The sequence below is a fragment of the Homo sapiens genome, chromosome 7 (assembly GCF_000001405.40).
Source record: "Homo sapiens chromosome 7, GRCh38.p14 Primary Assembly".
Classification (NCBI taxonomy): domain Eukaryota; kingdom Metazoa; phylum Chordata; class Mammalia; order Primates; family Hominidae; genus Homo; species Homo sapiens.
This window is the reverse complement of record NC_000007.14, coordinates 84,472,049-84,499,348: the sequence shown is the minus strand read 5'-3', so window position 1 is coordinate 84,499,348 and position 27,300 is coordinate 84,472,049. Positions and strand designations below refer to the sequence as shown.

The 27,300-nt window shown below is 34.1% G+C and overlaps 1 protein-coding gene across 2 annotated transcripts in view, besides 1 other annotated feature; it reads left to right on the top strand.

Annotated features, from left to right (window-relative positions):
• Window positions 1-6,623: 6,623 nt before the first annotated feature.
• SEMA3A (semaphorin 3A) overlaps window positions 6,624-27,300 on the top strand; it is a 536,949-nt gene continuing 516,272 nt past the window's right edge. For both annotated transcript variants that reach the window (XM_005250110.4, XM_047419751.1), the window contains exon 1: window positions 6,624-6,889. The gene's annotated coding sequence lies outside the window, so the exon portion shown is untranslated. The remainder of the gene's footprint in view (window positions 6,890-27,300) is intronic.
• Window positions 18,905-19,074: an enhancer, noted in NCBI's record as "experimental_100364 CRE fragment used in MPRA reporter constructs". NCBI's record gives its function as "activates a minimal promoter by MPRAs in K562 erythroleukemia cells, with activity observed for the non-introgressed 7:84109676 variant allele {active_cell/tissue: K562}" and the evidence as "EXISTENCE:reporter gene assay evidence [ECO:0000049][PMID:34662402]".

The window sequence follows — 27,300 nt, the reverse complement described above, 5'->3', positions numbered from 1 at the left end:
TTTTGTATTTTTTTTGGAGAAATGGGGTTTCACCATGTTGCCCAGGCTGATCTCGAACTGCTGGGCTCAAATGATCTGCCCTCCTTGGCCTCCCAAAATGCTAGGATTACAGGATCCACTCATATTTAAAGTCAATAAATTCCAACTTAAAATAGTTCCTCCTCCAAATATTTCTACTTCCCCCAAATACTGATCTTCATTTTAATTGGTAAAGGAGAGACTTTTAGTTTCCTCTCTAAAGTATTTAGCTGTACTTCTCAGTAATATATTTCTGATTTATATTTCAGGTAGTTAACACAACTACATTATCAACCTTCCTTACCGCTAGTGAAGCCAACATTATATAAACAAAAGTTTACATGTGGAGCATTTTGGATTGGCCCTTTAACACCTGGTATGGGCTTGTTTTTATCCTCTCTACCAAACTTTTGTTCACCACAAAAGCAATGACCAGAATTCCAGCAGCTATTTTTTTTTCTTACCTTGAAAATTACATCCATTAGATGGAAATGCCAGGGCAGAAAGTAAGAAGATGGTGGATCTCTTATGTTTTGAGAAATGATGCCCTACAAGACTTGGAATGCTACTGGTGGACTTCTCTTACTTGAACAAGAAAGAAACATTGAATAAACAGTGGTCTTGTTTAATCCACTGTAATTTTCTGTTATTTGTGAAATCAATTTTGACTCAGGCTCCTTCATCTCTAACTCGTTATCAAGTATTGTTGCTTTTAGCTTTGAAATTTCTCTTGAATATAAGACTTTTTTTGTTTGTTTCTAATATCATTATCATTAACCAAGTCCATTTGGTAATTCTACAAAATTAAACTTGGTAAGTTTTTTTTTTTTTTTGCATTTTTGAGAAATACTATGAAAAATATTATGATACACAAACATTTGAAAAGATATTTTGGACATCTATACTAGAATCTAGTCATCATATTAGAAATTGGAGATATAAAAACATTAATTAACTACCTCAAGTTTCTATTTAATTCATTTTATAAAGTTCCAGTTTAGAGAACTCATCACAGCTCAACTTCAAAAGTAGGTGTTGCAATTCCATTTATTGAATAGGATTAGGGAAGTTAAATTACTATTAAGTGGTGGAATCAGGATTTGGGTCAAAGACTGTTTTTAAATCCTATCCTTTCCAGTGAACTGCAAGCACGTGGCATAAACATGGGAGTAGAAATGAGAATGGAATGCTACAAGGACTAGAGTGTATCAGTCTGCAGGGATACTTTTATGCTGAGGGAAAAGTGACAATCAAATCAGGAAAGTAGGTCAGTGCCTGAGTTATTGCAGCAGCCTCAAAAGCAGTCTTGCATTTTGCTAATCCCTTCCAATTAATCTTTCCCAAACATGATATTTATCATGCCAGACACTTACCAGAAAACTTCTAACAGTGTTTCTTTGTTCTACACAATCTTGCCCTTCCCACATTTATTCATGATTCCCCAAATTAAACCTTCTATATGACACAGACAACTTTTGTCATCATTTCTGAACCAAAGTCCTTGAGTACTTATGAATTCATGCAATCCATATTGAACTCACATTTTCTGACTTTTTATTAAATATGCTGTATATATCATTCTTGAAATGAAATATTATTTAATTTGTTTTATGTGTATATTTTCATCCCCAATAGTTTGTAAAATGTTGAGGTCAGACATTAGGCCTTGTTATGTATCAGTGATAGCTAAATTAAAAATTGTCTAGCAAATCTTGAAAACATGGTAAAATAATTTTTATGCAAGAGTTTTAGTGTTTTGATTAACTGGCTCACAAATAGTCTCCAGTTATTTTACATATTATCTTACATATTTCCCAGTGTTGGCCAAGGCAAAATTGTAAAGTTGGCAGAACTTTTTTGAGACCTCTTTCCTTTAAATTTTCCTCTATCCCTCTGTCCCCCACCCCCAAAAGTTGCCTAATTTTGAACTCACTCAAATGTATCTTTTTTAAATAATAACTTTCCTTGGCTTGGTCACCTCATGGGGATTTATGGTTTTAAGGACTTCAACCTGGAGCCTTTTTGATCACACCACCTGTACCACTTTTGACAACCCATACTATTCATATTCCCCAAAGAAATTATTCCCTGATGCAGCTTGTCCTTTGAAAAGTATACTACACCAGACTACCATTAGCTAATGTCCTAAACTAATACAGAGAATAAATAATAAGTTCTAAAAATATTTAATTTGGTGCATTTTATCCTCCTCCTAGATCACTAGCATTTTTATTGTAATAAAATTTTTGGAGAGAATGTTTTTACCTTGGCCAGATTATTTTTTAGGATGATATTTAAGATCTAATATTAGATTGTAAAAAACTTCTTACTTTTTAATAACAAAAACCGTGATTACTCTTGCACCAACCTAATAGGAGAAGAGAACCAATATTGGAAATATTTTCATATCATAAAATTATATAAATCATGCCTAGCCTCATAAAAGTAGTTACCCCAAATATTTGTTGAATTCTTGATTATTCATACCCAACTGGCAAACCTCTGTACAGTTTTATCAGATCTGCTCATAGAAATATATATTTTTCTACAATCCTATCCAATCTTTTTCTATTGATAGCTTATCCTATTAATGTAATATCATAATATTAATATAATATTAATGGTCTGGTACCTAAATTTTTACTTTCTCTGCCCATTGCATGATATATTTTAGAGTTGGTGAATCAACAACAATGTAAAGTAACATTTCAGTCCCATTTTCTAAAGCTGGTGAATCAGCAAAAACACAAAACTCTGTTTTATCTTCACCTTACATACAATCTCACTCCAATAAACCACAATGGGAAGAAGATATATCTGTAAAAGAGACAGTGAACCCTGTGCTTTAAGGAACTCCACATGTTTTATATCCTTGGATTAATGAGGCACAAAATTGAAACTGTGGAGTGAAAAACTATAAAAATATGGAAAGATTTTTTTTTTTTTTTTTTGAGACGGAGTTTCTCTCTTGTTGCCCAGGCTAGAGTGCAATGGCATGATCTCAGCTCACCATAACCTCTGCCTCCTGGGTTCAAGTGATTCTCCTGACTCAGTCTCTCGAGTAGCTGGGATTACAGGCATGCACCACCATGCCCGGCTAATTTTGTATCTTTAGTAGAGATGGGGTTTCTCCATGTTGGTCAGGCTGGTCTCGAACTCCTGACCAAAGGTGATCCACCTGCCTTGCCCTCCCAAAGTGTTGGGATTACAGGTGTGAGCCACCACACCCAGCAGCAACTTTTTTTAAAGGAATTTATATCAAGTGTGTTTACATTTAGGAGCTGAAACATTGTTTTCAGAAATGCCGGTTTGATACTAGGGATCATCATGCTGTTTTTCCATTACCTTAATTTCAGAAATAAGTGACTTGGAACTAAAATTATTTACCATTTGGACTTCAAAAGCTTGATCAAAGCAAGACACATGTTTAAAAGAGAATCAAGTCTTAAACCAGATTATTAAAAGAGCCCTAAATTTTTGTTTCAATGACATATCATAAATAGTTGAACATATTTATTAAGGAGAAATATTTGTACATCATTTCAGCAAACTACTTTGATATTTAATTGGAAATGACAGACCATATTGAAGTTTGTTAAAAGAATCTTATTAATAACAACTTCACAAACACCACAACCACTGCCATAGTCTCCATTAGTAAAACTAAAGGGGAATTTGTGAGTTAATAGAATGGGAATAAACATATGCAATTGAAGGCAGGTCCAAATCAGGAATGATGTGGCCAGCTAGACGTGTGTTGGGGAAATTTTGATTTTTGCCTTCCTACAGGTAAAAGAAAAACTAGCAAGCATTGAATCATTAGTTCATAAATTAGACAGCATTTGTTAAAGAGGACCCCCTTGTGAATAGGCTTGTATGATGGGTTGGGAAAAAAAACCTAGATATAAATCAAAACAAAGAAACTGTATGCTTCTCTAAATCTTATCCAAACTTTGGTATAAAAGTTAGACTGGAAACTCCCCAGGATATTTTTTTCTTGGGATGTTTCCAATATGTTTCATTTTCAACTAAGACAGAAAAAAAATCTCACAATGAAAGTCTTCATAGCAAATTATGTGAAACCATGAAAATGAAGAAGTTTTGTTTGTTTTTCCAATGAAAATTTTTGAAATCTGAAAATGCTAAATTTCCTAACAGAGAGTTCAGATAGCCAGAAACTTCAACCTAATTTACTTAAATCCAATTAAAGAAAGTTATGATAAATTGCTCTCCTATATAATATTTCTACAGGTAATTTTGTGCTCATCCGGTGGTATGATTTCTGAAACTTGAATATCAACACATGATTGTAATGTCTTTAGGATATGAAATTACATGCACTTATACACAAACACTCTCTAAAATAACCAGACATTGTTAAAGAGACCCTCTTCTCATACCATAGCTATATACAAATGATATTTATGAACCATTTAGATCTCTTCAAATTGCATTGGCCCCTTGGGGTACACTGAAATCACAATCTGTTTATTTATTTTTTTCTTGGGTTCTGTTATCTCTGTTCTTTGCTTCCATCTGTCTTTTCCTTCATATCTTATCCCCATTTTTCCCACACATTAATATTCTCCTTTCTAACCTTTTAATATTTCCCTTAAAAATGATTTTGCATTCTGAAGCTTTTTTGTTCTTATTCCTTTTTTTAGATGGAATGACCAGAGAGAACACTTTTCTAATTGTTTAGTGTGATTATTGTAAATATCCAAAATCAGAGGGCAAAAGATATGTATGCTAGTGTGATCTGCCATACAGAATAAGACAATGCAATTATTTAAAAATCAGACTTTTATATTGTTGTTTAACTTTTATAATTTTCAATAAATGTTAGTCTCATAATTTAAATACAGTTTTTATTGAAGTTTAACATAGTTTTTAAAATAATTATTTTCTTGTCTTTTTTGTTTCCAGGAGTGAAATGAGGTTTTTTCTTTTTAGTCTGCTGAATTATATTATTTTACTGATGAGTAAAATAAGCTTCTGTTAGAATAAAGTAATTATTTACAGAGAAATGGTAAAATCTGAAAAGGATGATACAAATTTTTAATCAAACAATGAATTAATTTTGGACAACTTATGGAAACATGGAAAATTGATTGATAATTTTTAATGTTTAATCCTGTACTTATTTCTTCAAGTTTGCTACAAAGGAATTAGGGATATTAAAGAAACATTTGCTCAAGAGATTTTCATTATAAAAAAGTTCTAATAAACTATTTTAAAAATATAAGTGCTTAGGTACTTCTTAACTTGATGGGTCCCTCTATCACGAGTCTACACTTTTATCAGTAGACTAGACTATATTTCTACTACCAGTTTGGGCACATGAAGTTAGAGTATCCACTTCTAAATTATAATTATCCATATGAATAGGAGTTTATTTTTTATTTTCTTATAAAATAAATCAATGATAATCATTTGATTCTGTGCTGGATAAAAATTATTCTTCATGGAGACTGTCTGACATGGGGAAGAGTGAGAATTCTAGAGGCAAATCAAATTGAATCCTGCTTCCAACCATAACAAAACCATAACCTTGGGTACAGTAACCTCTCAGAGACTCCCTCATTTGTTAAAAAGAAAAAAAAGTGATAATAATAGTAATATTGACCTTACAGTGTCCTTGTAGGACTCAAAAGAGATGATGTGTGTAATGCTCATTACATAGTTTGTCATGTAGCAACTGTTCAGTTACCATCATCATCATGATTAACAATAGTAGTCGCACACTGTTTAACACAGGAAAATAGCTCTCAGCAACAAAGGAAAATAGATCCAACGGCCTGATTTTTGGAAGTTAATTATACTCATTCTGATTACTTATGCATTTGTTTTCTTGTGAAAAAGAGTGGTGACACAGAAAACCCTGAAGTTTTCACGGGTTAAGGTGCCTGAGATAATAAGTAATATACAGAAATACCTAGATGATGACATTTTCCATAAAAATTGGCTTCAAGAACATTAAAATAAATGTCCAATTGCAGAATGTCAATCTGCCTGACAGTGTAAATCTCCTTAAAGCAATTTAATTCAGATTAAAAAGATAACTTGGCTTATGCAGCAGAATGAAGGATCTGTTTCAAATCCATCACGTTAACACTATCAATAACCCACTATGACCCATGATTGAGTAGTTTTAATTAAGTTCAGTTAGGGTATTGGGGAAAGGGTGCATTATTTAGCCCCTCATTAATAGTTAAAGTGATTATTAAAAATATCTCTATAACTATTGTAGTTTGAGAATCTTTCTTTTTTATTGAATTTATTGTTTTCTTTGCTACAGAGCAATACCATTCGGGAAACTCTGTCTCCTAGGAGTTTTAATGCTACCCCACTTCCAGCACTATAAAACAGAGGCCTGCTGTTTTAATCACGCCTCTCTCTCAATGTTGTTTGCGCCCTGGTACAACCCATCTGCCTTGAATCTAGTGCTCCGCTGGGGCTGCACACATCTGCCAGCCAGACTACCTTCGTACACAATTACTCAATCCACCGTAAGGCTCTTTAATAGGAAACAAGTGTGACAACGGCAAGCCTCCTTTTTTTTTTTTTCTCCTCCCTTTTAAACCACAGAGTCAAATAGCTCTAATAGAGATGAAGCCTGATAGATCCGCCCAGGTGTAGGTGAAATGGTAGAGCCTCAGGGGTAATAGATTCTGTGCTCTCATGCTGAAGTTTAGTGCTGTGTCTTGACTGGCTCTCTAGCATCAGTGTGATGGGCTGCTCCTGGTACAGTTACAAAGTGAACATGCTTCTTGCTGCTCACATTTATCCCTAATCTGGAGGGCAACCTGGAGCTAGGTAAGAACAGAACAGCCCTTTGACTTCAACGCATGGACAAAGGACAACAAAGGCAGTAAGTGGAAAAAATTTTCTTTCTTTCTTTTACTTGGGAATTAATTACGGGTGTTTACTCCCAGGGAATCCTCTAAAGACTGTGCAAAAGTGAACTAGGACAAAGCTTATGTTCATAACCCCATTAATTTCTCCAGTTTCATTTTGCACAATGCCCTGGCACTGTCATTAATACTTAAATGCTCCTGAAGTGACTCCTCATTCAGAAGGTCTCGGAACTGAAATGTGGTGCTAATAATACTGTTAATTCAATCCTGTATTTTGCCGTATTAACTGCTACTTCTGGGTGAAATGTCCTTTATTACTGTCAAAAATGATGGTTGCAAGTATTTTGTCAGTTTCGAGAACACACACAAAAAAATCTTTAAAGCACATACCCTTCTTGAAAATGGATTTCACTTTTATGCATAACTATACTGCTACGTTACTCTTCATACATTAATGTGAGGAATTTGCGTATAATTTTTGCCTAACAAATCTGTTCTATAGCTTGATCTCTTACTAGAGAAGTGACACTAAAAACTCTAAAAGAGTATTAGGTTGTAGCAGCAATGACAATGATAGTGAGTATTTAAAACAAACAAAACAAAACAAAAGGTCATTTGTCTAATAACATAAGAAGATATATTAAAACCAGATGTACAAAATCTCAACTTTGACTTTTTAGTCTTTCATGCTTGGTTTAAAGCAGTCTTCACATTGCGTTTATTTTGCATTTACAACTTTGGATTCACCATTAAACTATGTTTGAACTTGAAGTTCAGATTTGATCTAAGTACAACCTTGTTCCTTGAGCCCCCTACTCTGATTTTTACTTGGCTATGGGGAATCTTTTTACTACTCTACCATATATTCTGAATTGTGTTAACAGGCTAACTGTGGTGGACTTTCAGGTGGAATGTCAGCCAATGTAAAAGAATGTGTTTGCTGCTCAAATGTATGATGCTTCATGTAAGAAATAAACACATAGAACATATGCCCTACCAAAGATTCCAGTTATTAATGATTTCTGAATTAATCCATCAAACACTGCACAAAGCTGATCAGATTAAAGAGAATGCAAGAAAACCTTTCTGCATTTCTTATCTAGTAATAGTCATTTGAGTTGATCTTTTTAAATTTAACCATTATTAATTTGAAAAATTAGTCTGGAAGACATTGTCATCTCAAAAGGCAATGCACATATGTAGAGTAGTTAGGCAAAATTAGACAAAACAGTATTGCACTGTTTAAATAATTCCCCATCGGCCAATGTTTTGTTTTTATTTTCTAACTATTATAGATGGACATCATTGAAAATGATGATTTAAAAGCCATGACGGTAGAATCCTGATGACTCCTTTGTGTATATTCAGAAATGATTTAGCTTGGATAAAGTTGCTGCTATGAGAGGTTTAATTAATTACTTCTAGTTAAATATATTTCTTTAAGAATTGCATTTGACATTACTGATGGTGGAGTAAACGGAGTTTCACAGTCATTCTTCATGAAATACTTTAACCGACAATCGTTGGCATTGAATAGCGGTCAATGTCTACCCCCTACAGGGAGAGATTCTAATTTCACTATGCCTTCCCCAGCACATGAATGCCATAGAGTACAGTTCACACATATGAATGCCGTAACCGTGTCAATGACTTCAACAAGTGCCCCTTAATGAAAAGGTCAGCACTGTGATTAATAGGAAGCTGATTTCAAAGGCTGGACCTCACTTCAGCATGGCATTTAGATTTGTTTCTTCTTGATTTACTCCATTTGCTTTTCAAAGTGTAATAAAAATCAAGTAGTATTATATTGCACATTTTTAATGCATTGTGGTTGCTTTTATATGATAGCAACACAACAGTATATTTGGTTTAGTAAAGAAAGAAATAACAACTAAGTGAAAAAATCAATCAAGCTAATAATTGGTGAATGAAAATTTTACTCTTTATCCAAATGGAATATATAGCCTTTGCCTAAGTTTCAGTTAACTTAATGAACTTTTAAAAGGCACTGTATGGATAAAAGTAGACTGGAAAAAAGGTCTGATTTTTTAACCTAGGCTTATTATGCTTAAATGCTAGCTATGTGCTAGCAAGTGAATATACACACGTAACTCAAAAAGATAATGATTTTTCACTAATGGCGAAAAATCATTGACAAGTATAGCTGAGTGAGGATGAATACAGTAATTTTAATCCTAGTGACAACCTCAAAGAAGATTTGTAATGGTGGTGGTGTTATAGTCTTTCCAGTTAATTTTTTTTTTTTTTTTTTTTGCTGGAAAAGCATTGTGGTTATATCCAACTTACATTTTTTAAATGGTTCTTTTTACTGGAATTATAATTTGTTAATAAATATCCTATAAAATTAAGGTAATGAATAAATTATGTGGTCCTTAAATATGTTTACAATTTTTTCATGTATTATGCATTTTGTGTCCCTGTGGCTTTATCTATACATGTTTTCAAATAAGATTGCAATATAAGTAATTAAAGAATACAAACAATATAAGTATATATACTGTATTTATTACATATGAAAATTGCTATATGCTTAGAGGAAAATTTTTAGAAGACCCAGGATATATCAACTTATTCTAAGGGATATTCTCTTTCTAATAAATTTTCTTTTTTAACCACATATCAACACTTACATAACTTAATAACTTCATGTTCACTTATAGTGAAGGAATTATATTAGACATCAAGATAGAAAGTGTAGAAAAAAGGAGTTCAATTTTGAACGCCAACATCGCACAAGAGGAGCTTTCAACAGCCACTCAAGGAAGAGAAAAATCTAGTAACTCTGTAAAATGGGCACAGTGCTTCCTAGATGTGTCATATTTTGTCAATGGCCACAGCTACATCTTCCCATTATTCCATTATTCAAGATTCCATTTTTTTGCTCTGAGTTGGAAGCCAACTACTTCCAGAGTTCTAATGAATAACATTAGTGGGCTTTCACAAAATAAATTCCTGGAAACTGCTCTAAACATGCCATGATTTATTTAATCCTTACAGTCCAATGAAGTAGATAGTGTTCCTATTCTCATTTACGAATGTGAAAACGGAGTGGTTAAGGGACTTGCTTAGTGACATGCAGATAGTGATATGGTTTGGCTCTGTGTCCCCACCCAAGTCTCTCCATGAATTGTAATAAGCCCCATGTGTCAAGGCGGTACCAGGTGGAGATAATTGAATCATGGGGGCGGTTTCCCCCATGCTGCTCTCCTGATAGTGAATGAGTTCTCACGAGATCTGATGGTTTGACGAGAGGTTTCCTTCTTTGCTCAGCACTCATTCTGTCTCCTGCTACCCTGTGAAAAGGTGCCTTCTGCCATTATTGTAAGCTTCCTGAGGCCTCCTCAGCCATGTGGAACTGTGAGTCAATTAAACCTCTTTTCTTTTTAAATTATCCTGTCTCCAGTATCTCTTCATAGCAGTGTGAGAACAAACTCATACAGGTAGTAAATAGTGTAACTTGGGTTCAAATTAACTTTGCTTGAGGGAAGATGCTACCCCAACCACCGGACTGTACTACCTCTCTAATAGGTGACTTCGTTATTAGTGGAAAGTTAGCTTTATCTCTGACCATCTTATCGGGACTACTTGAATTTAGAAAGAAATTCCAAAATGAATTTGTTGGAATGCCCAATCAAATAAAGCGTAAATAGTTGGTTGTCAATCAAGGAATATGATCTCACTTCAGGTTACATCACTCAATACTTTACCCCAGTATTTTCAGAGGTTTGACTATAGGTAAAGAAGGAGTTGCAGTTATATTTCTGACATGTGAGGAAGAGCTGACCCTTCAACTCTCACTCATTTCACATGTCCACACCTGTTAATAGTGGGACTCTGGAAAGTTTGTCTCCTCAGGGTATTTCCAACCCAGCGATGTCTGGCTGACTGACAAACAGAGATCACTCTAATCACAATAGTCTTTCAATGAGAATCACCTAAACACATTCCCGCCTGCAAAGCAGTGAAAAAAAAAATGAGCTGTCAACCACTTTCAAAGACTTTAAGGCCTCAGTTATTCAATAGGACTATCTGGGTATTTGTTTTTTGAAAGATAGAATGGCAATTGAATTTTCTTCTTATCTGTGGGGAGTACATATATATATGTGTGTGTGTGTGTGTGTGTGTGTGTGTGTGTATATACGAAGAAACATAGCTGGAAAACACCTCTTTGTAATATTTCATTTAAAATATAATTTCCTAGAACCTACATATGTGGTATGTCTCTCTAGTGAAAAACATTCTTCTCAAGACAGACATCACTATGATGGAGATTCTTTGTGAAGAAAATAAAAACAAAATATTTATGACAAAAAAACTTATATCTTTTATTTTTAATATTATAGGTTTATCCTTTCCCGTATAAACACAGGATATTCATTTTAAAGAGAGATTTCATTTTATTTTTAACAGTCCATATTATTATAATTATTAAACCAACACATAGTTTACTTTTACAAACACAAGCAGACTTACGCAAGACAAATGGAATGAACATGAGGAAGTTCCTTCAAACCTGAGCAACCCCAACTCATTTTCTACAAAAGAGTAGGTAGAAATGTTCCTTTAATTCTCATTTTTCCTTTGGTTTGTATAAAAGATATTTAAATATGATCAGCATTTATAAAGTCATAGACTATTCTTGTTTTTTTTAAAGAGAAAAAAACGATTTTTAAAAAGTAATCTCAAGATCCTGGAAAAATTAATCTGTGGTGACAGGATCTGAAAGCTCTAAATACCTTGAGGATTGATGATTACTTAAAAACAGTGGACTTCCTCTATCACTATCATTAGTCAAAGAGATCCACAGGTTAACTTCTTGAAGTTAATCTTATCCTCATAAATCCTTTTTGAATTATCTAGTAACTACTTTATTTTTATTTGTAAGTTCATCTTAAGTGGAAAAGTGTTTCTCTCCCTCTTTCTGTTCTTACTTGACATTACAAGCCTTTTACCAGGGAACCAGTCTAGAATTAATTCTTATGCTAATTGCTTCTGGCTCATGTTCCAGGGAAATATTGGGAACACTGCAGACCTAGACATTGCTGGCGGACACTTCTACCCAGATCTGGGTAGTCTGAGTAGAAGTCTCTGCTTACTTCCACGGTTTCAAACAACCTGAAGTCCCAGCCAGCAGTCACAACAATCAACCCAACTCACAGTCTTCCCTTTGCATGGGGGGCTCTTGGTCCCAGTTTCCCTACATGAGTTAGACTCCTGGCCACCTGGGTCTGGATTTGCAGGCAGCCAAAATCTAATATTTTTTCATTTCTAGCCCTGCTTAATATTAAATATTTCTTTTCATTTGAGGCCCATTAAAATACCCATTTTTTTAAGCATGGGTATAAATTTTTAATATTATCATTGCTATATGTTCACAGTAGAAGTTAGCTGCAGGTGTGTCTAAAGCAAGAAATCAAAGAGGCATCTAATTAGTAGTAACTTCACTTTTGTTTTATTACTTAATATTGTGCATTTCAAATTTGTATGAGAGAGACAGAGAGGAATCGTTAGTATTCTATCTGTACTTCTATTAAAAGCTTGAGGATTTAATCTTTTTTTTCTGGTGAGATGCACTAATATGCTTGAATTTTACATGCTACATAATGATGTTTTTCTGACAAATAATATTTTTGGTCACTCTCAAACTTATTTTCCTGAAATAAATGCTATTAACTATGCGATGCATTTCTGTGTTTATAATTATATTTGGCTAACTCACAAATCCAAAATTCTCTATAAAGAGAAGAGTGAGCATTAAGTAAAAACACTGGGGCTCAGGTCCTCTTTGTGACAATCACTGCCTTGTTTTCAAAATGTACAGAGTATCCATCATGCAACATTTGTGTGAATACTCGTGAATAAACTTTGCAAAACTATTTGTAAAGTACTATAAGGAATTCTGAGAAGTTACTATAAGATAGAAAAGAATATAGGAGCATGCCCAAGCCATATATATGATGTTTCACGTAATATGCTTGGTAGACTTGTAAAATATTTTAGATGTGGTGTAGGAATAAATCTTTGATGTAATTTGTTTTTTTGTATTTGTTTTTGTTTTTGTATTTTGAGACAGAATCTCGCCCTGTCGCCAGGCTGGAATGCAATGGCACGATCTTGGCTCACTGCAACCTGCAACTCCCTGGTTCAAGTGATTCTCCTTCCTTGGCCTCCCAAGTAGCTGAGATTACAGGCACATGCCACCACGCCCAGCTCATTTTTGTATTTTTAATAGAGACAGGGTTTCACCATGCTGGCCAGGATGGTCTTGATCTTCTGACCTCATGATCTGCCTGCCTCAGCCTCCCAAAGTGCTGGGATTACAGGCGTGAGCCACCACGCCTGGCCTGTAATTTGTTTTATATCACGTAAACCATAATGCCTATTTTCCCCTTTAGATTAAAATATGTTTAATGATATTTAATTATTAAACATTTTTCTGAGTCTAATTTCCATTTCACCAAAAAATCAAAATTTCTTTCTCTGGCCAAGAAAACACTTATCAAAAATTTTCCCAATTTGTAAACTTGATGAAAGACTCATATTTGATTAATACTATTTCTAAATGAGCCTCTTCTGTACCTCAGTTTTCAACAATTTCAGAAATGAAACAAAGTTAACAATGGGAGCCCCAAATCTTTATTACTTGAAAGTAAGCCCTACAATACTAAACCTTTGAATTAAGTTTGGTTTACCCATTCAATCACAGCTAATATTGGTTTGAAGCATGGTAAAGTAGAGAAAATTGTTAGTACTGGTAAGGATGTCTGAAATTCACATAAAGCGGGAGCAGTAAATCACAATTGCAGTCACAGCACATTTGGAGGCCTAGATAGGAGGATTGCTAGAGCCCAGGAGTTCATGACTAGCCTGGGCAACATGGTGAAACCCCACCTCTACAAAAAGCAAATATAAATATTAGGAGTGGTGTGTGGGCCTGTAGTCCCAGCTACTCAGGAGGCTGAGGCAGGAAAATTGCTTGACCCCAGGAGGTCGAGGCTGTAATCAACTATGATCGCCCCACTGCACTCCAGCCTGGGTGGCAGAGTAAGACCCTTTTCTTCCAAAAAAAAAAAAATACATAAAATATTAACATGTATTTTCATGTGTGCTCTCAGCTACCCCATGAAATAGTACCAAAAAACTTTGATTTTTTCACTTCTTAAATAATGATGGAAGTATATTTTATCACATCCAATACTGCGGCCAAATATCTACTTTGTACATGAAAATTTGAGTACTGTTAGTTTATGTGCAAACATTTACATTTTATTTAAAATATTAAAAATATATGTTAGTAAATATGGAAAAGGAACATTACTGCAGTAACTACTATGGTCATGTGGCTTACATTATCTTATGTAATCTCTATATTAACAAATAAAGGTAGATTTGTCATTTCCATTTTACAAATGAGCAATGTGTTCTATTTTCTTGACTTTCTAAAGAAGATTAAGCATACAGAAATTTATTCAGATGACTAATCCAATTATAAAAGCAGTAAATATGTACAAACATGCCAAGATGCCCACATGCAGTGCAGGTTGCAATAAAAACTGTTTGTATTATAGTTCCATTCCTTTGGACTGGAATTTAGAGGTTGTACTACTTCAATATATTATGATCCTTAAGGATGAGCATTCATACTTTATTTATATGAGTCATAAGTGTCTTAAGAGCATCAGTATTGCCATCATATTTTGATTCAAGAAATAAGTAATGCCGTTCTTTGGAATGTATTCTACTTTGGCACTTTTATGAGGATATAATGCTAAAGATGATGTCACCAGTCGGAAATGCTATATTTTTACATAAAATCTTTACATCCTATGTTAAGGTACATTTATTAATTTCAGTGTTACAATGTGATAAAAACTTGCTCTCTGTGTGTGTGTGTGTGTGTGTGTGTGAAAGTGAACAAGTGAATATGTGCATGCATAAGTAAAACCGTCTACTTGACAGGATTCCTATTAGATACTCCACAGTGATAGGTTTGTTAAATTAAAAAGAAGAATTTTTATTTTGTTTAAATAGCTATACTCTATAATTTAAAAAAAAAGCTCTTATTACAAATTTTTATATGCACCAACAAGAAAAATATATGCATTTAAAATATTTGTTTCCTGTTTTATTCAGTCTTTTAATGTTTTGAACATTTAGGTTAACCACTTGCTATTCTCTGCTACTATAAGAACACTACATTTTTAAAATTATTTAATGTGTAACTTTAAACTGTGTTAAAGCTACCCACAGCCTTACACAGTGGTCTTCTAGGTAGATTATAATATTTTTAGTACTATATTATTATCAACACTGTTTTTTTCTTAACTAGTCCATTTTGGAAATTATGAACTTTCCTTTTTGACTGTGACAAAACCCAGATTTTTTCTTTTTTTTTTTTTCTTTTTTTTGAGACAGAGTTTCACTCTTGTTGCCCAAGCTGGAGTGCAGTGGCACAATCTCAGCTCGCTGCAACCTCCGCCTCCTGGGTTTAAGTGGTTCTCCTGCCTCAGCCTCCCGAGTAGTTGGGATTACAGGCGTGCACCACCACACCTGGCTGATTTTTTGTATTTTTAGTAGAAACGAGTTTCACCATGTTATCCAGGTGGTCTCGAACTCCTGACCTCAGGTGATCTGCCCACCTCAGCCTCCCAAAGTGCTGGGATTACAGGCGTGAGCCATTGTGCCTGACCCAGATTTTTTTTTAATTAGTATGATATGGGTTGTCTATTCCCCACTCAAAGTCTTTGAAAACTTTCCTTAACAACTAGACTCAAAAGACTACCATTGGCTGCATCTGACACTACCCTACTCAGAAGCTAGAACAAGAAAGAACCATGGACCACTAGCAAAGCACTGTTGGGGCACCAATTCAGGCAGTCCTTAAGTAGTCCAACAACTCAGGTGCTAGCAGGCAAGGTCAAAATGTGGCAAGTGAGGGAAATTCCTGGCTTGAAAGCCTCCTTCTCTATAAAAAATGATATCTTTTATAACAAGAGAGACACAGCTTCTAGGATTCTTGCAAGGGGCCTGCCCAGTGAAAATCATCACCATATTCAGGGATACCCAACATTAGGGTTACTATCAGGTATTTACAATTTTCTTAGTCCTGATTCATTGTAGCAGTTAAGGGTCATTTTTCCTATAGGTAAATTTTCCCAGTAATGTGGTTGACATTCTAATTTTTATAATTTTCGAGGGGAATGGAACTAGATAGTTAACAAAAGGTCAAATTACCATGAAGTGAAAATTTTGTTAGCTTTTTATCCATGGGTAGTTAACATGGAGTTTGAGAAAATTAATTTTAAGGACTAGCATGGCCTATTCCCATTATGTCTACAAATGCAATCCTGTGCTTTAGTTTATGGTTATAGTTATTGCACATAGAGCTCTCATTATTTATAGTTTTGATTTGCTTCCAAAACATTTTATGTATTTCTGCCCTTTCTGTAAACTTTAAAAACTACACCTACAAGTAAACATTTCAAAGGGCTGAAAGAGATTAGATTTGTTAATTAAACATTCCAAGGGTACTTTCAGATGAGACTAGACTAAGAAAGTTTGAGACTACACTCCAAAAAAAAAAAAAAACTAGAATTTTGAGTCTATCATGTAACTTTTTGAAATAAATAAGGTTTCACATAAGAAAAGCAGGGATTTTCTACCAAAACTCAGGATACTAGTTATGCAGCACCATCTTTAACAGTGGGAAGAGGCTATAAGAGGATGCAGGCATCTAACCGCAGTTGTGGCCACAACAATAATGCCATATATAGGCCACACATGAGGTTAGCATGCCTTAAGGGAAAAATGTGAATGTGGTGGGTACTTGGGCTGTTCTATAGGGAGGCAGTGTAATGGACAAATAACACCTTGTAAATTCCTGCAACTATGATCATCAGTGTTTAAAGACTGACTCCAACTGTTTTTTTAGGAAGGGCCCTGGGTTGAACAGTCTCAGAATATTTTAGCTTCATTTACTATGTTATTGCCAATGCTATTGATTAGAATTTAAAAGCGCCACTAAAAATTCAAAAGAATAATATTTCATTAATGAACACTAAATATATGTTGAATGAAATTGAGTCTACTAATTTACCATTTAGGAATAGATATTCGGTATACAATAATTATAAAATACATACGCATTTATATGTGCATTGTTTTATGATAGAGAATTATCCAAAAGTTCAGAGATTCTACTGTAGTAAAGTCAAAATAAACATGAGCTTGGACAAGTAACATTAATAGCACTTACACACTTCTTACATTAATAACATTAATAACACTACCTCAATATTTTAACTTATACGATGAGAAGTTTGAAATAGATGAATTTGATATTTTGCCTAATTTTTCAAATGCCTATATATATAATTTCATTTATGATAAGTTAACATCAGTCAACATTAAGACATAAAACAAGCTTTTAAAAATAAACTTTAGGTAGAAGCTATATTACTCTTAAAAAGATATGTACTAATTTAAACAAGTCTTACTTTTACGATGCTTTTTAGTGACTTACAGTCAATCATGACTAAATTAATAAACTACTCTTGAGTAATTAAATATCCTCATTACTTGAATATTGAAAAATGAGGGCATTGATTATTTTAGTTAACTTTGCTGTCTTCTTTTGAGTGCTTATCACAAATTAAATAATTAAAATTCATTTCTTCCACTTTAAATAGATAATAATTTGCGTCTTCTATTAAAGGTAACATTTTATTCTGTCAAGCTATAGACACTGTAATAAAATGAAGATGGTGCAATATAATTAGCTGAAAAGAGTGAACTTAATTTATCTTGAATTATGTGTAATAAGAAAAAACATAAGAAACCATATTTAGCATTACTTAAATTAAAAAGTATTGCAATTATTTCATATTCCTTTTGAAATCAAAGATATAAATTTTGGGGAAATATCAGAGATATATAAAGTTTATGCCAGATCTTTTTTCTATTAAACACTGCATTTCTTATTTAACAGATAGTGGATTTCAACATCAGTTGTAGCTGGCTCTTTCAATTTGGATGAATAATATACTTAAAGCATTTTTGGGTTTATTTCCTTTAGGAAAACATCTCAGAGTTACTCTAAAAGAGCTTTGAAATAATGTTCATTTTTAATTAGGTTTAGTCCCACCCTTTGCAGCAGAAGCCATTAATAATGAGACACATGCAAAAGGTGAGGGTAGTAAATATTTAAAAGACCAGTGGGTCCCTGAAGATTTAGATTTGCCCTCGTATCTTTTCAATGGTCAACCCCACCATTAAGTTGTATCTTTCTTTACTTAGAAGCCTTTGGAGCTAGAAAATACAAAGAACAGGATTGCTTCTTAGCAAATTTCAAGTGTCATGAGCTTTATCTTTGACACTCTCTCCTCACACTTTTCCAAAATCAGGGTAACTTCTCTACCTTTCTTTCAAAAACAGTCACCCTCATGCCATAGGCTTCTTACTAACTTTAGATTTTTCCCAATACTGAACATCTGCCAACATCAGTGTTTCCAATTCATAAAGCTCCATGCTATTAAAGTCTTTATTTATTTATTTTATTTTATTTTTGGTATGCTACCCTCTTTCCCACTAATTCCTAAGTCAAAACACTCATCCTATTTAATACTCACTGCTACATTATGGGAGCAAAGATGATTAAACATAGACACAGTATGTTGAAAATACAGTTTGATAGGACATCCTTAAATTGATAAAGTTCTAACACTTCGGGGGTAGTTACGTTTTAAAAAGAGGACACTTCCAATTCAAAAACAGATAATATTCAGTTTCAGAAAAATTCAAAAAGAGATGAATTTCAGGTCAAGGAGCTAAGGGGCCCTTCAATCTTGCCTTAGAGCTCTAATCTTCTGCTCAGGCCAACCCTGACCCTGGGCACTGCTACCTGGACAGCATTCTGGCTGTCAGAAGATCAAGATGTATTAAAATTCACTATGAATTTCTGGTACTCATTTATCTTTGTCTGTTTTATGCTCATGCTCTAAACATTTTGAAATTAGCTAATGGAAGAAAATTACTGAATGGAAAGATTCCCTACGAGCAGTTTTAAAATTTACTTTTAATGTTTTTGTGTTACTATTTTTCACTTCTGCTCCATTCCAGGTGTTTCTCTTCAGTCCCTTACCTTCCATTCTCCATTCCTAGTATACCTTCCTTCTGCAATCAAAATCCAATCTTGCAGTTGGAAATTCAGCGAGAGTGAAAAAAGTTAAAACAAAAAAACAAACAAGCAAACAAAAAACCCCAGAGCCCTGCCTGAATGTTGCTAATTGAGCGAAAGTGAGGCCATTCCATCTATGAAGCACTGTTCTCAGTGTTTTTTTGTAGAAATGAACATTAATCTTGCTTTAGTAAACTTCTTTATCTAATTAATCATGTTGTCATTTAAGGGTTAGTGATGCAGTATGCCTTAAATAACTGCTGGATACTTTAGACCCTTATATTAACTTAAACTTTTCTGGTTTGCCTCGCTTAAGAAAGTTTGCATTGGATTCAGAGTTAATACACTAACCTAGCTTTGCTTTGGCTGTGTTGTTGTTGTTGTCGCTGCTGCTTTAAATTGATCTTGAGATTTTGTGTGTAAAAAAGAGGAACATATGCATATTCCTAACTATTGAGCTTCTTATTTATTAGTATTGTTGTTAAATTGTTGAAGTCATCTTAATGCAGAGCAGTATGTATGGTACATCGTGTCATTGACGTATATTCACATTATTTGGGATTGTATTTTTTTTAAGAATAAAATATAGCTCTTTGACAAACATTAATTTTAAGGTTTATTTTAAATATCCTTCCCGATTTTCTGAAATCTTGAGCTACATAGTATATTTACCTCCTCTGAATTCTATAGCATGTCTCATCTGTGTCATTTATTTGATAGCTGCCCATACTGATGTATTTCCATATCTAGTTCTATTCTCTGCTAGATACTAAGCATTTTTAACACAGGGGCCATGATGTCTACATTTTTGTGTGCAACACAGCCTTGACAAAATAGGTGTTCAATAAGTACTTCTTGATTGAAAGTTGACCATTCCACCCTATAAATGCAGGTTAAAGGGTCTTTACCTATGTCTGTATCCCCCGTTTGCTGTTTAATTGGCTATTAGCTAGAACTGATTGATAGACATAAAGACTTTTTTTAAGGAATTGACAGCTATGTAAATATAGCACTTAACCTTAAGCACTTAGCCATTAACCTTAATCACTGTCCATTAACCTTAAGGCACCCCAGGTTTCTCCCCTTACAATCCCCCAAAGCAGACCCTACTTGATGCATTTTTTACCATGAAAAATAATCTTAGTAGAATGTCTTTATTATTCTGTGGATAGCTGTAAAAATTATATTTTGAAAAAGAACACTTGACCTAATTGTTTTATAGTTACTAATGTATTTTCCAGATGTCCAAAGAAAGATAAGAAATTGGGAAATTGTTTTGAGGAGCACATTAGTATATATTTGACAAGAGAAGGACTAGAGGATGCTTTTATAAGTATGATTTTATATAAGGTTGATAATCACAGGCGTGTCATATCACCTTCTATTTAACTTAGAAAATTTATAAAAAATAAATAATATTTTCTATAGCTATTGCTAAAAAGATTTAATTATTGTTAATTCCAGACATATGGGAGTAACTAATAATTTTAAGAATAGAGACTGCTTGATATTTTCTAACTAATGTCAAATTATAACAGAGAAAAAGAATAAATGAAATTCCTTTCTTTAAACATAACACTTTAGATTTGTTTTTTTTTAATATTCTTGTCCCATAAATCTAACTAATTATATTGAAATATTACCTTTTAAAATAATCCTTTGTAGTCTATAAAATCTATATTTTCTCTTTTGGATGTTTCACAAAGACCATATAAAATAATAATTATACATTATTGGAAAGAAACAAAATTTCATGTTAATATATTCCATTTCATTGTATTTTTTATATCATGGTTTTATTTTCACCAAGATCTATATTTACTAAGCATGAATTGAGTAAAATAACATTACAAAGTTGCAAAAAGTTTTGTATGTAATTTTATATGCAATTATGTTTTATGACTAATCCTTGGGGTGAAAACAGTAAGTCAGGGAAGTTCCCATTGTATTCTGAACATAATACATCTTAGGGTGAGGTCAGGTAGAGTGTGGGAGGATGGCTGGGGATGGGGAGGTAGAAAGAACACCTTGCTTATTCAGGAAAGCAACTTGATACTAATGGACTGATTATTTTTAGCTTTGCCAGAGTGCTCAGTTTTGCTCCAAGTCCCGCAGGGAACTGACACTAGAAGGTGTGAGCAACTGAGGGCAGGGGAGGGTCTCTCTTACCACTAAATTTCAAAGTATATTTTAACGAATGTGAAATCTCACTGGAATAACAAACCAGTGTAACATGATGACTTCAACTCTAAAAAGATGTTACCTCAACACCAGGCTGCTTAGCTGTTCATTTGGAATTTTACAGTTACCTAACATAGGAGGAAGGTGATAATGAGGGTGACTTGGCAAAAGAAAGTCCAGGCAGAATGAGCTCCACAAAGGCAAATCAAATGCCAACATTGACCATGTGTTTTGAAAATCAACAAATCAATAACTTTCACGGAAATTGCATGCAGGTCGTATGTTTATTTCATTCACTGAACATTTTTACCATGCAGTCATTCATGACCAAGAGGATGCTCTCAGAGATAGACATATGCTAAGAGGATATTAATTCACTGTTTCATTCTTTATTTTGTAGATCTCACACCCCAACACCTCTATAGATATGGAAATATATCTTAGTTATATCACTATACATAGGCCTTCTTTTCACACAAGATGATGAAAAAACAAGCAAATTTAGCTGAGAATCTGAGCAAATAAGTGGGAGTAAATTTCTATCTTTTCAGAATGTCTTCTCCAATATACACATTTTATTTATTTAAACAACATTGCTTGAGGAACCATTTTATGCAAAGAATATTTTAAGTCTTTTTTTTTTTTTTTTTTTTTTTTTGAGACAGAGTCTCGCTCTGTAGCCCAGGCTGGAGTGCAGCATTGTGATCTCGGCTCACTGCAACTTCTGCCTCCCAGGTTCAGGTGATTCTCCTGCCTCAGCCTCCCGAGTAGCTGGGACTACAGGTGCCCTCCACCATGCCTGGCTAATTTTTTTGTATTTTTAGTAGAGACGGAGTTTCACCATATTGGACAGGCTGGTCTTGAACTCCTGACCTTGTGATCCGCCCACCTCGGCACCCCAAAGTGCTGGGATTACAGGTGTGAGCCACAGCACCCTGCCTATTTTAAGTCATTTTAATTGTTGAAATAGTGATGTAAACATATAAAGGATTTTTTTTGAAAAATATATATATATATATATATTTTTTTTTTTTAACAAACACATGGCATATACTCTACCATACTGCTTTTTACTCTACAGAGGAACAACTAGAAGTAAGATAAGTCTCTTTCCTTTAGCACAAGTGTTAAGTGTTATAAAAGAGGTTAATTAAATACTGGAAAACTGATCAAAATGTTATCTTATTATTTTTTTCTTCAGAACATGGCTAAGAATTATTAATAATCGTAGTTATGTCTCTAAGTTACAAGAAATAGTCAACTTAATGTCAGCACAGTGAAGAGCAAATTATTGATATTGTGCAAGTTTGTTTCTTGCGTTAGATTTTCAGCTACAATGTAAGAATCTGGAATCAATAATTTGTGCGTTTTCTAACTATATTTTTCTACTTTATCACTTTTTGGTTAATTTATCCGTTTTAATTATTACATCTAAGGAATACAAGATTTTAATATCTTATTTTTCTAGGTAATAGCAACACAATACATTCAGTATTTACAAATGATAGAATTTTATATACTTTTAGGCACTTGAATGCCTACAATGTTGTAGGCATTCATGCTATTTGTTGGATGTTGTTTCAATTAAGCACTGTCAGTCTAATTTAATGAAACTATCTTCAAGTGTTACTACTCTACTGCATTATTTTGCAGACTCTATATGGGTGTTTGGCTCTACATTTAGACGACAACTAAGACACATTGAAAAAAAATTTTTTCTTTTCTTTTTTTTTTTTTTGAGATGGAGTCTTGCTCTGTCACCCAGGCTGGAGTGCAGTGGTGCGATCTCGGCTCACTGCAACCTCCGCCTCCCGGGTTGAAGCGATTCTCCTGCCTCAGCCCTCCTGAGTAGCTGGGATTACAGGTGCACGCCACCACGCCTGACTAATTTTGTTTGTATTTTTAGTAGAGACGGGGTTTCACCACATTGGTCAGGCTGCTCTCGAACTCCTGACCTCATGATCCACCTGCCTTGGCCTCCCAAAGTGCTGGGACTACAGGCATGAGCCACCGCACCTGGCCAAAAAAAATTTTTAAACAACTTTCTTTATCTTATCTCTAAGTTCTAAGGAAATATAAAACTTTTATGGAAATTGAAAACTATCATCATGCATATTGTATCTTTCCTGCAAAACTGGCTTTATTTGTATGTTTTACTAAGATGTATCTTAATCTAGATTCATGTGAAAACTAAAGATTAAGTCTACCATGACAACAAAACCAGTCCAAAAAAATAATGCTGAAACATTTTAGGGAGAACTGCAAAGGTTGAGACTATTCTATAGGGAATAATTTGCTTTGATCCAAGTGTCTAGGGATGAAAGCAGAAACAAGTGCCACAGGTAGTCTGGAGTTCTGTAAGTAAACCCATATTCCTGTACTCATCATCTGTAAGTTAACAAATTATTTGCTCAGCACTAGTTACTAATGCTATACTGGAAAAAAAAGTGAAGCAAATAGGGGCACCTCCGACTTTCCAATTAAACCACCAGGTTGCATGTTATGTGAATTTTCTTTTTAAAAATCTGCCCTTGAAATTCATTTTGTGATCATATTTTTATATAATAGATTTAGGTGAGCGTGTAAAACGTACCCCAATAAAGTCTGCTCTAACATCTGTATGGCTGCTTTTCTCACTTGAGATTTTCTCAAATGTTAAAAATTTAAGGAAATTCTATCTGTTTCCTATGAATTTTTTAACCTTAAAACAGCAACCAAACAAACCACCACCACTCCAAAAGCAATGACAAGGAAACAGCACAAGCACTCATCACATTCACAGACACCCTGACACAGAATGAACAAACAAACATATAAGCAGACAGAAAAAACAAACCAACGACAAAAACAGACTCTCTCTCTCTAACAATCCATTATTGTTAGGAAATTTCAGGTTGAATATGTATAGTTAAAAAAAAAACAAAACACACATTCACCAGGGAGTATGAGATGGGCTGTACCACTCCCCTCTTTCCCAGCCCCTGCACTCCTGGGACCCGGCACTCTTGGGGGTTGGGGGAGAAGGGGGAGCAAGAACTCTGGTGCCTCCAGCCCATCTGAGGCCTTAGGTAAGAAGAATGATGTCACAGATGTTTCACTTTTTTTTCTTCATCCTATTTCCTTCTCTTTTCTTAGGCGTTTAAATAGTTTTCTCTCTTTATAGTTTCTCTTCACTTTTTTTTTTAAACCTCTAATATTTCTCCAAAGCGTTCTGATCCCCTAAAATAGAGAGACAATTCTTCTGACTAAATATAAACATTTATTCCTACTGGTCCTTTGTATTTTCTCTCCATTTTTACTGTGTATGGGGCTTATTTTTTCTCAGGTAGAAGCAAGGGTGTTAGGATCATCAGCAGCAGTTCTGATCTCTAGGGGTGTATTGAAGAATACCGGCTATTAATTAACAGTTTATGATGTGCCTCACACTCTGCAGAGGAAGCACTCTATAAAACTGTCAGGTAGTAATAACTCAGCTCCCTTCTTTGGGCTCTGGACCCATCAGCTCTTACACTCCTGATGGGGAAAAAGAGTCATCTTCCTCATTACACCTACCTAGAGGATACAGTGTCAAGTGTAAAAGCTGCTACAAAGAGGAGTAGTCATTAAGTATTTCAAAATGATTTCAAATGTTACTCTGGGAGAGAGAGAAAAAAAAAGGAGCAGTCCTCAACATACTGTCAAAGGAGGGAACTACACAATCTGCGTAGGGGAGCAGAATTTCTCATACAGTAATTTTCCTATCTGGGAAACAACCTGTCTTAGGAACAAGCCTCAGATTCGCTTTTTTCAAAGTCTGTCTTCACTACACAAGAAGGCTTGTCCTAGGTGAAGTTTCTATGTAATGCTGTTTTTGAAATACAATTTGCATATTTTTATTCGTTTTCTCACTTAAAATAATAGACTGTTTTCTCTAGCAAAGTTCAGGTTTAGCTCTTTTCTCTAATCATATAATTTTGTAATATTATGTTATAGTCAGATAAAACAGAAAGAAACTTATTTCCAAGGCTGAGAGATAAGAAAATTGAAAGAGTTAGGATTCTCCCACTTCTTAGTAGATGAGACCGAAAGCCATTGTTGCAGTGATGGAAAACACACAGCCATGGAGGGTTTGGAACTGATTCAGATCTTCAACAAGATCCTGACTTATGTGCGGCTCAGGGATCTGGTCTTTTGCTCAATAAAGGTATGGAAAATAGAACTATAACTCATTCCTGACTCAGCACAGTGTTGTTAATATTTGTCTTTTTAATGTTCTTAATTTAAAATTTTACTCTTAGAACCAATGTTTAGTATTATTTCTATAATTTTGAGGCTCCTAGTCATTATTTAAAATGTTTTTGTTAGTTTCTGTGCAGTCTGATTTATCAGATATTTATATTTAACTATTCCATAGAAATTAAAATATTTAGGCCAGGAGCAGTGGCTCATGCCTGTAAACCCAGCACTTTGGGAGGCCGAGGAGGGTGGCTAACTAGAGGTCAGGAGTTGGAGTCCAGCCTGGTTAGTATGTTGAAACCCTGTCTCTACTAAAAATACAAAAATTAGCCAGGCGTGGTGGTGCACACCTGTAATCCCAGCTACTCAGGAGGCAAGAGAATCTCTTAAACCAGGGAGGCAGAAGTTGCAATGAGCCGAGAATGTGCCACTGCACTCCAGCCTGGGCAACAGAGTGAGATTCAATCGCAAATAATAATAATAATAATATTATAATAATAATAATAATACAAAAATATAAAGTATATAAGATTTATCTATAGATGACATTTTAATATTTCCCAATTCTTTGTTCCTGTGAATAATTTTATTCATTTTAAAGTTATAGTTATAGAGAATAAAAAAGTGACTAAACACAAAAATTTATAATAAAACCTTCAGAGGAAATAACAAAGAAGGAAACTAATACTTAAGAAGTATGTAGGTTTCACACACACACACACACACACACACACACACACCATTTCTTTTTTCCCATTAAGCCCAAACAATACTTCTCTGAAGCAATTTTATGTATGGTATTCCAAAGAGATTAAGTAAATTATAGAGTTTCTTATCTAGATTTAGTGGCAGAGCTGTAATTTAGACCTAGACCTAATTCCAAAATCAAGTTTTGGAACACCGAATATACAGTACCGTTTTTAATGCCACTAATGCTGTCACATGAGGATCTCTCTAAACTAATAGCAGTATTAAAAGCTGTTGTTAATTATATCATCTGCCACTTTGGGAGGTAATACTACTTCTTAAATGTCAATGTTTCCTTTTGTTTGAATGTTATTTTTCCTTAACATAAGCTATTGATATGATTATATGGATCGATTTGGTTTAGTGGGATTATGTTCTTCTGAAATAATATGGTAAATTATGTAATGCTAACAGTTTAAGAGCAGGATATTGTTTTCTGATTGAGTTCCTCTAATATGATCCTGTGCGACATATAAGTTTACTTTTAACAGAAGATTTTATTTAGCTCTAAAATATTTAAAGGTGTTTTGAAATTTGACAAACATTGAACATTGTATCTGATAGAAATGTGGTGACATGTTTTAGCTGAAAAACAGAAAACAAGACACACAAAATACAGATTGAAAAATGGAACAAACATTGGGAGCTTCATGATACAAATACAATACACATAATATAATACGAAGCACGAAGCACTAATGCGTTTTAGCCTATTTGTCTAATAATGAAGATGTTAGTTAAGCTCTCCTTGCAATTTAAGATCTACATCTTTACCTCAGCTCCTCCTTGTCCCAACCCACATCCCATGAAAGACCAAAGTCTTCCTCAAAATTTCTGCATATTTCTGAAGCATGTGTTCGAGTGGGGGAGTGGGAAAATATAACTCATGTTTGTCATTGTATCTCTTGACTCTAACCTAACTTTTCCTCAGTTCATGAACAATATTATCATTTTTCTCTTTTACTTATATGGACATGTAATCACATACACTCACACATGCCTGCTTTTCTATTATAGCCATATATATTAATATTTTATTATAGACTGGACACTCATTTTAGGTTAAGTAATCCTCAGAGATATGTA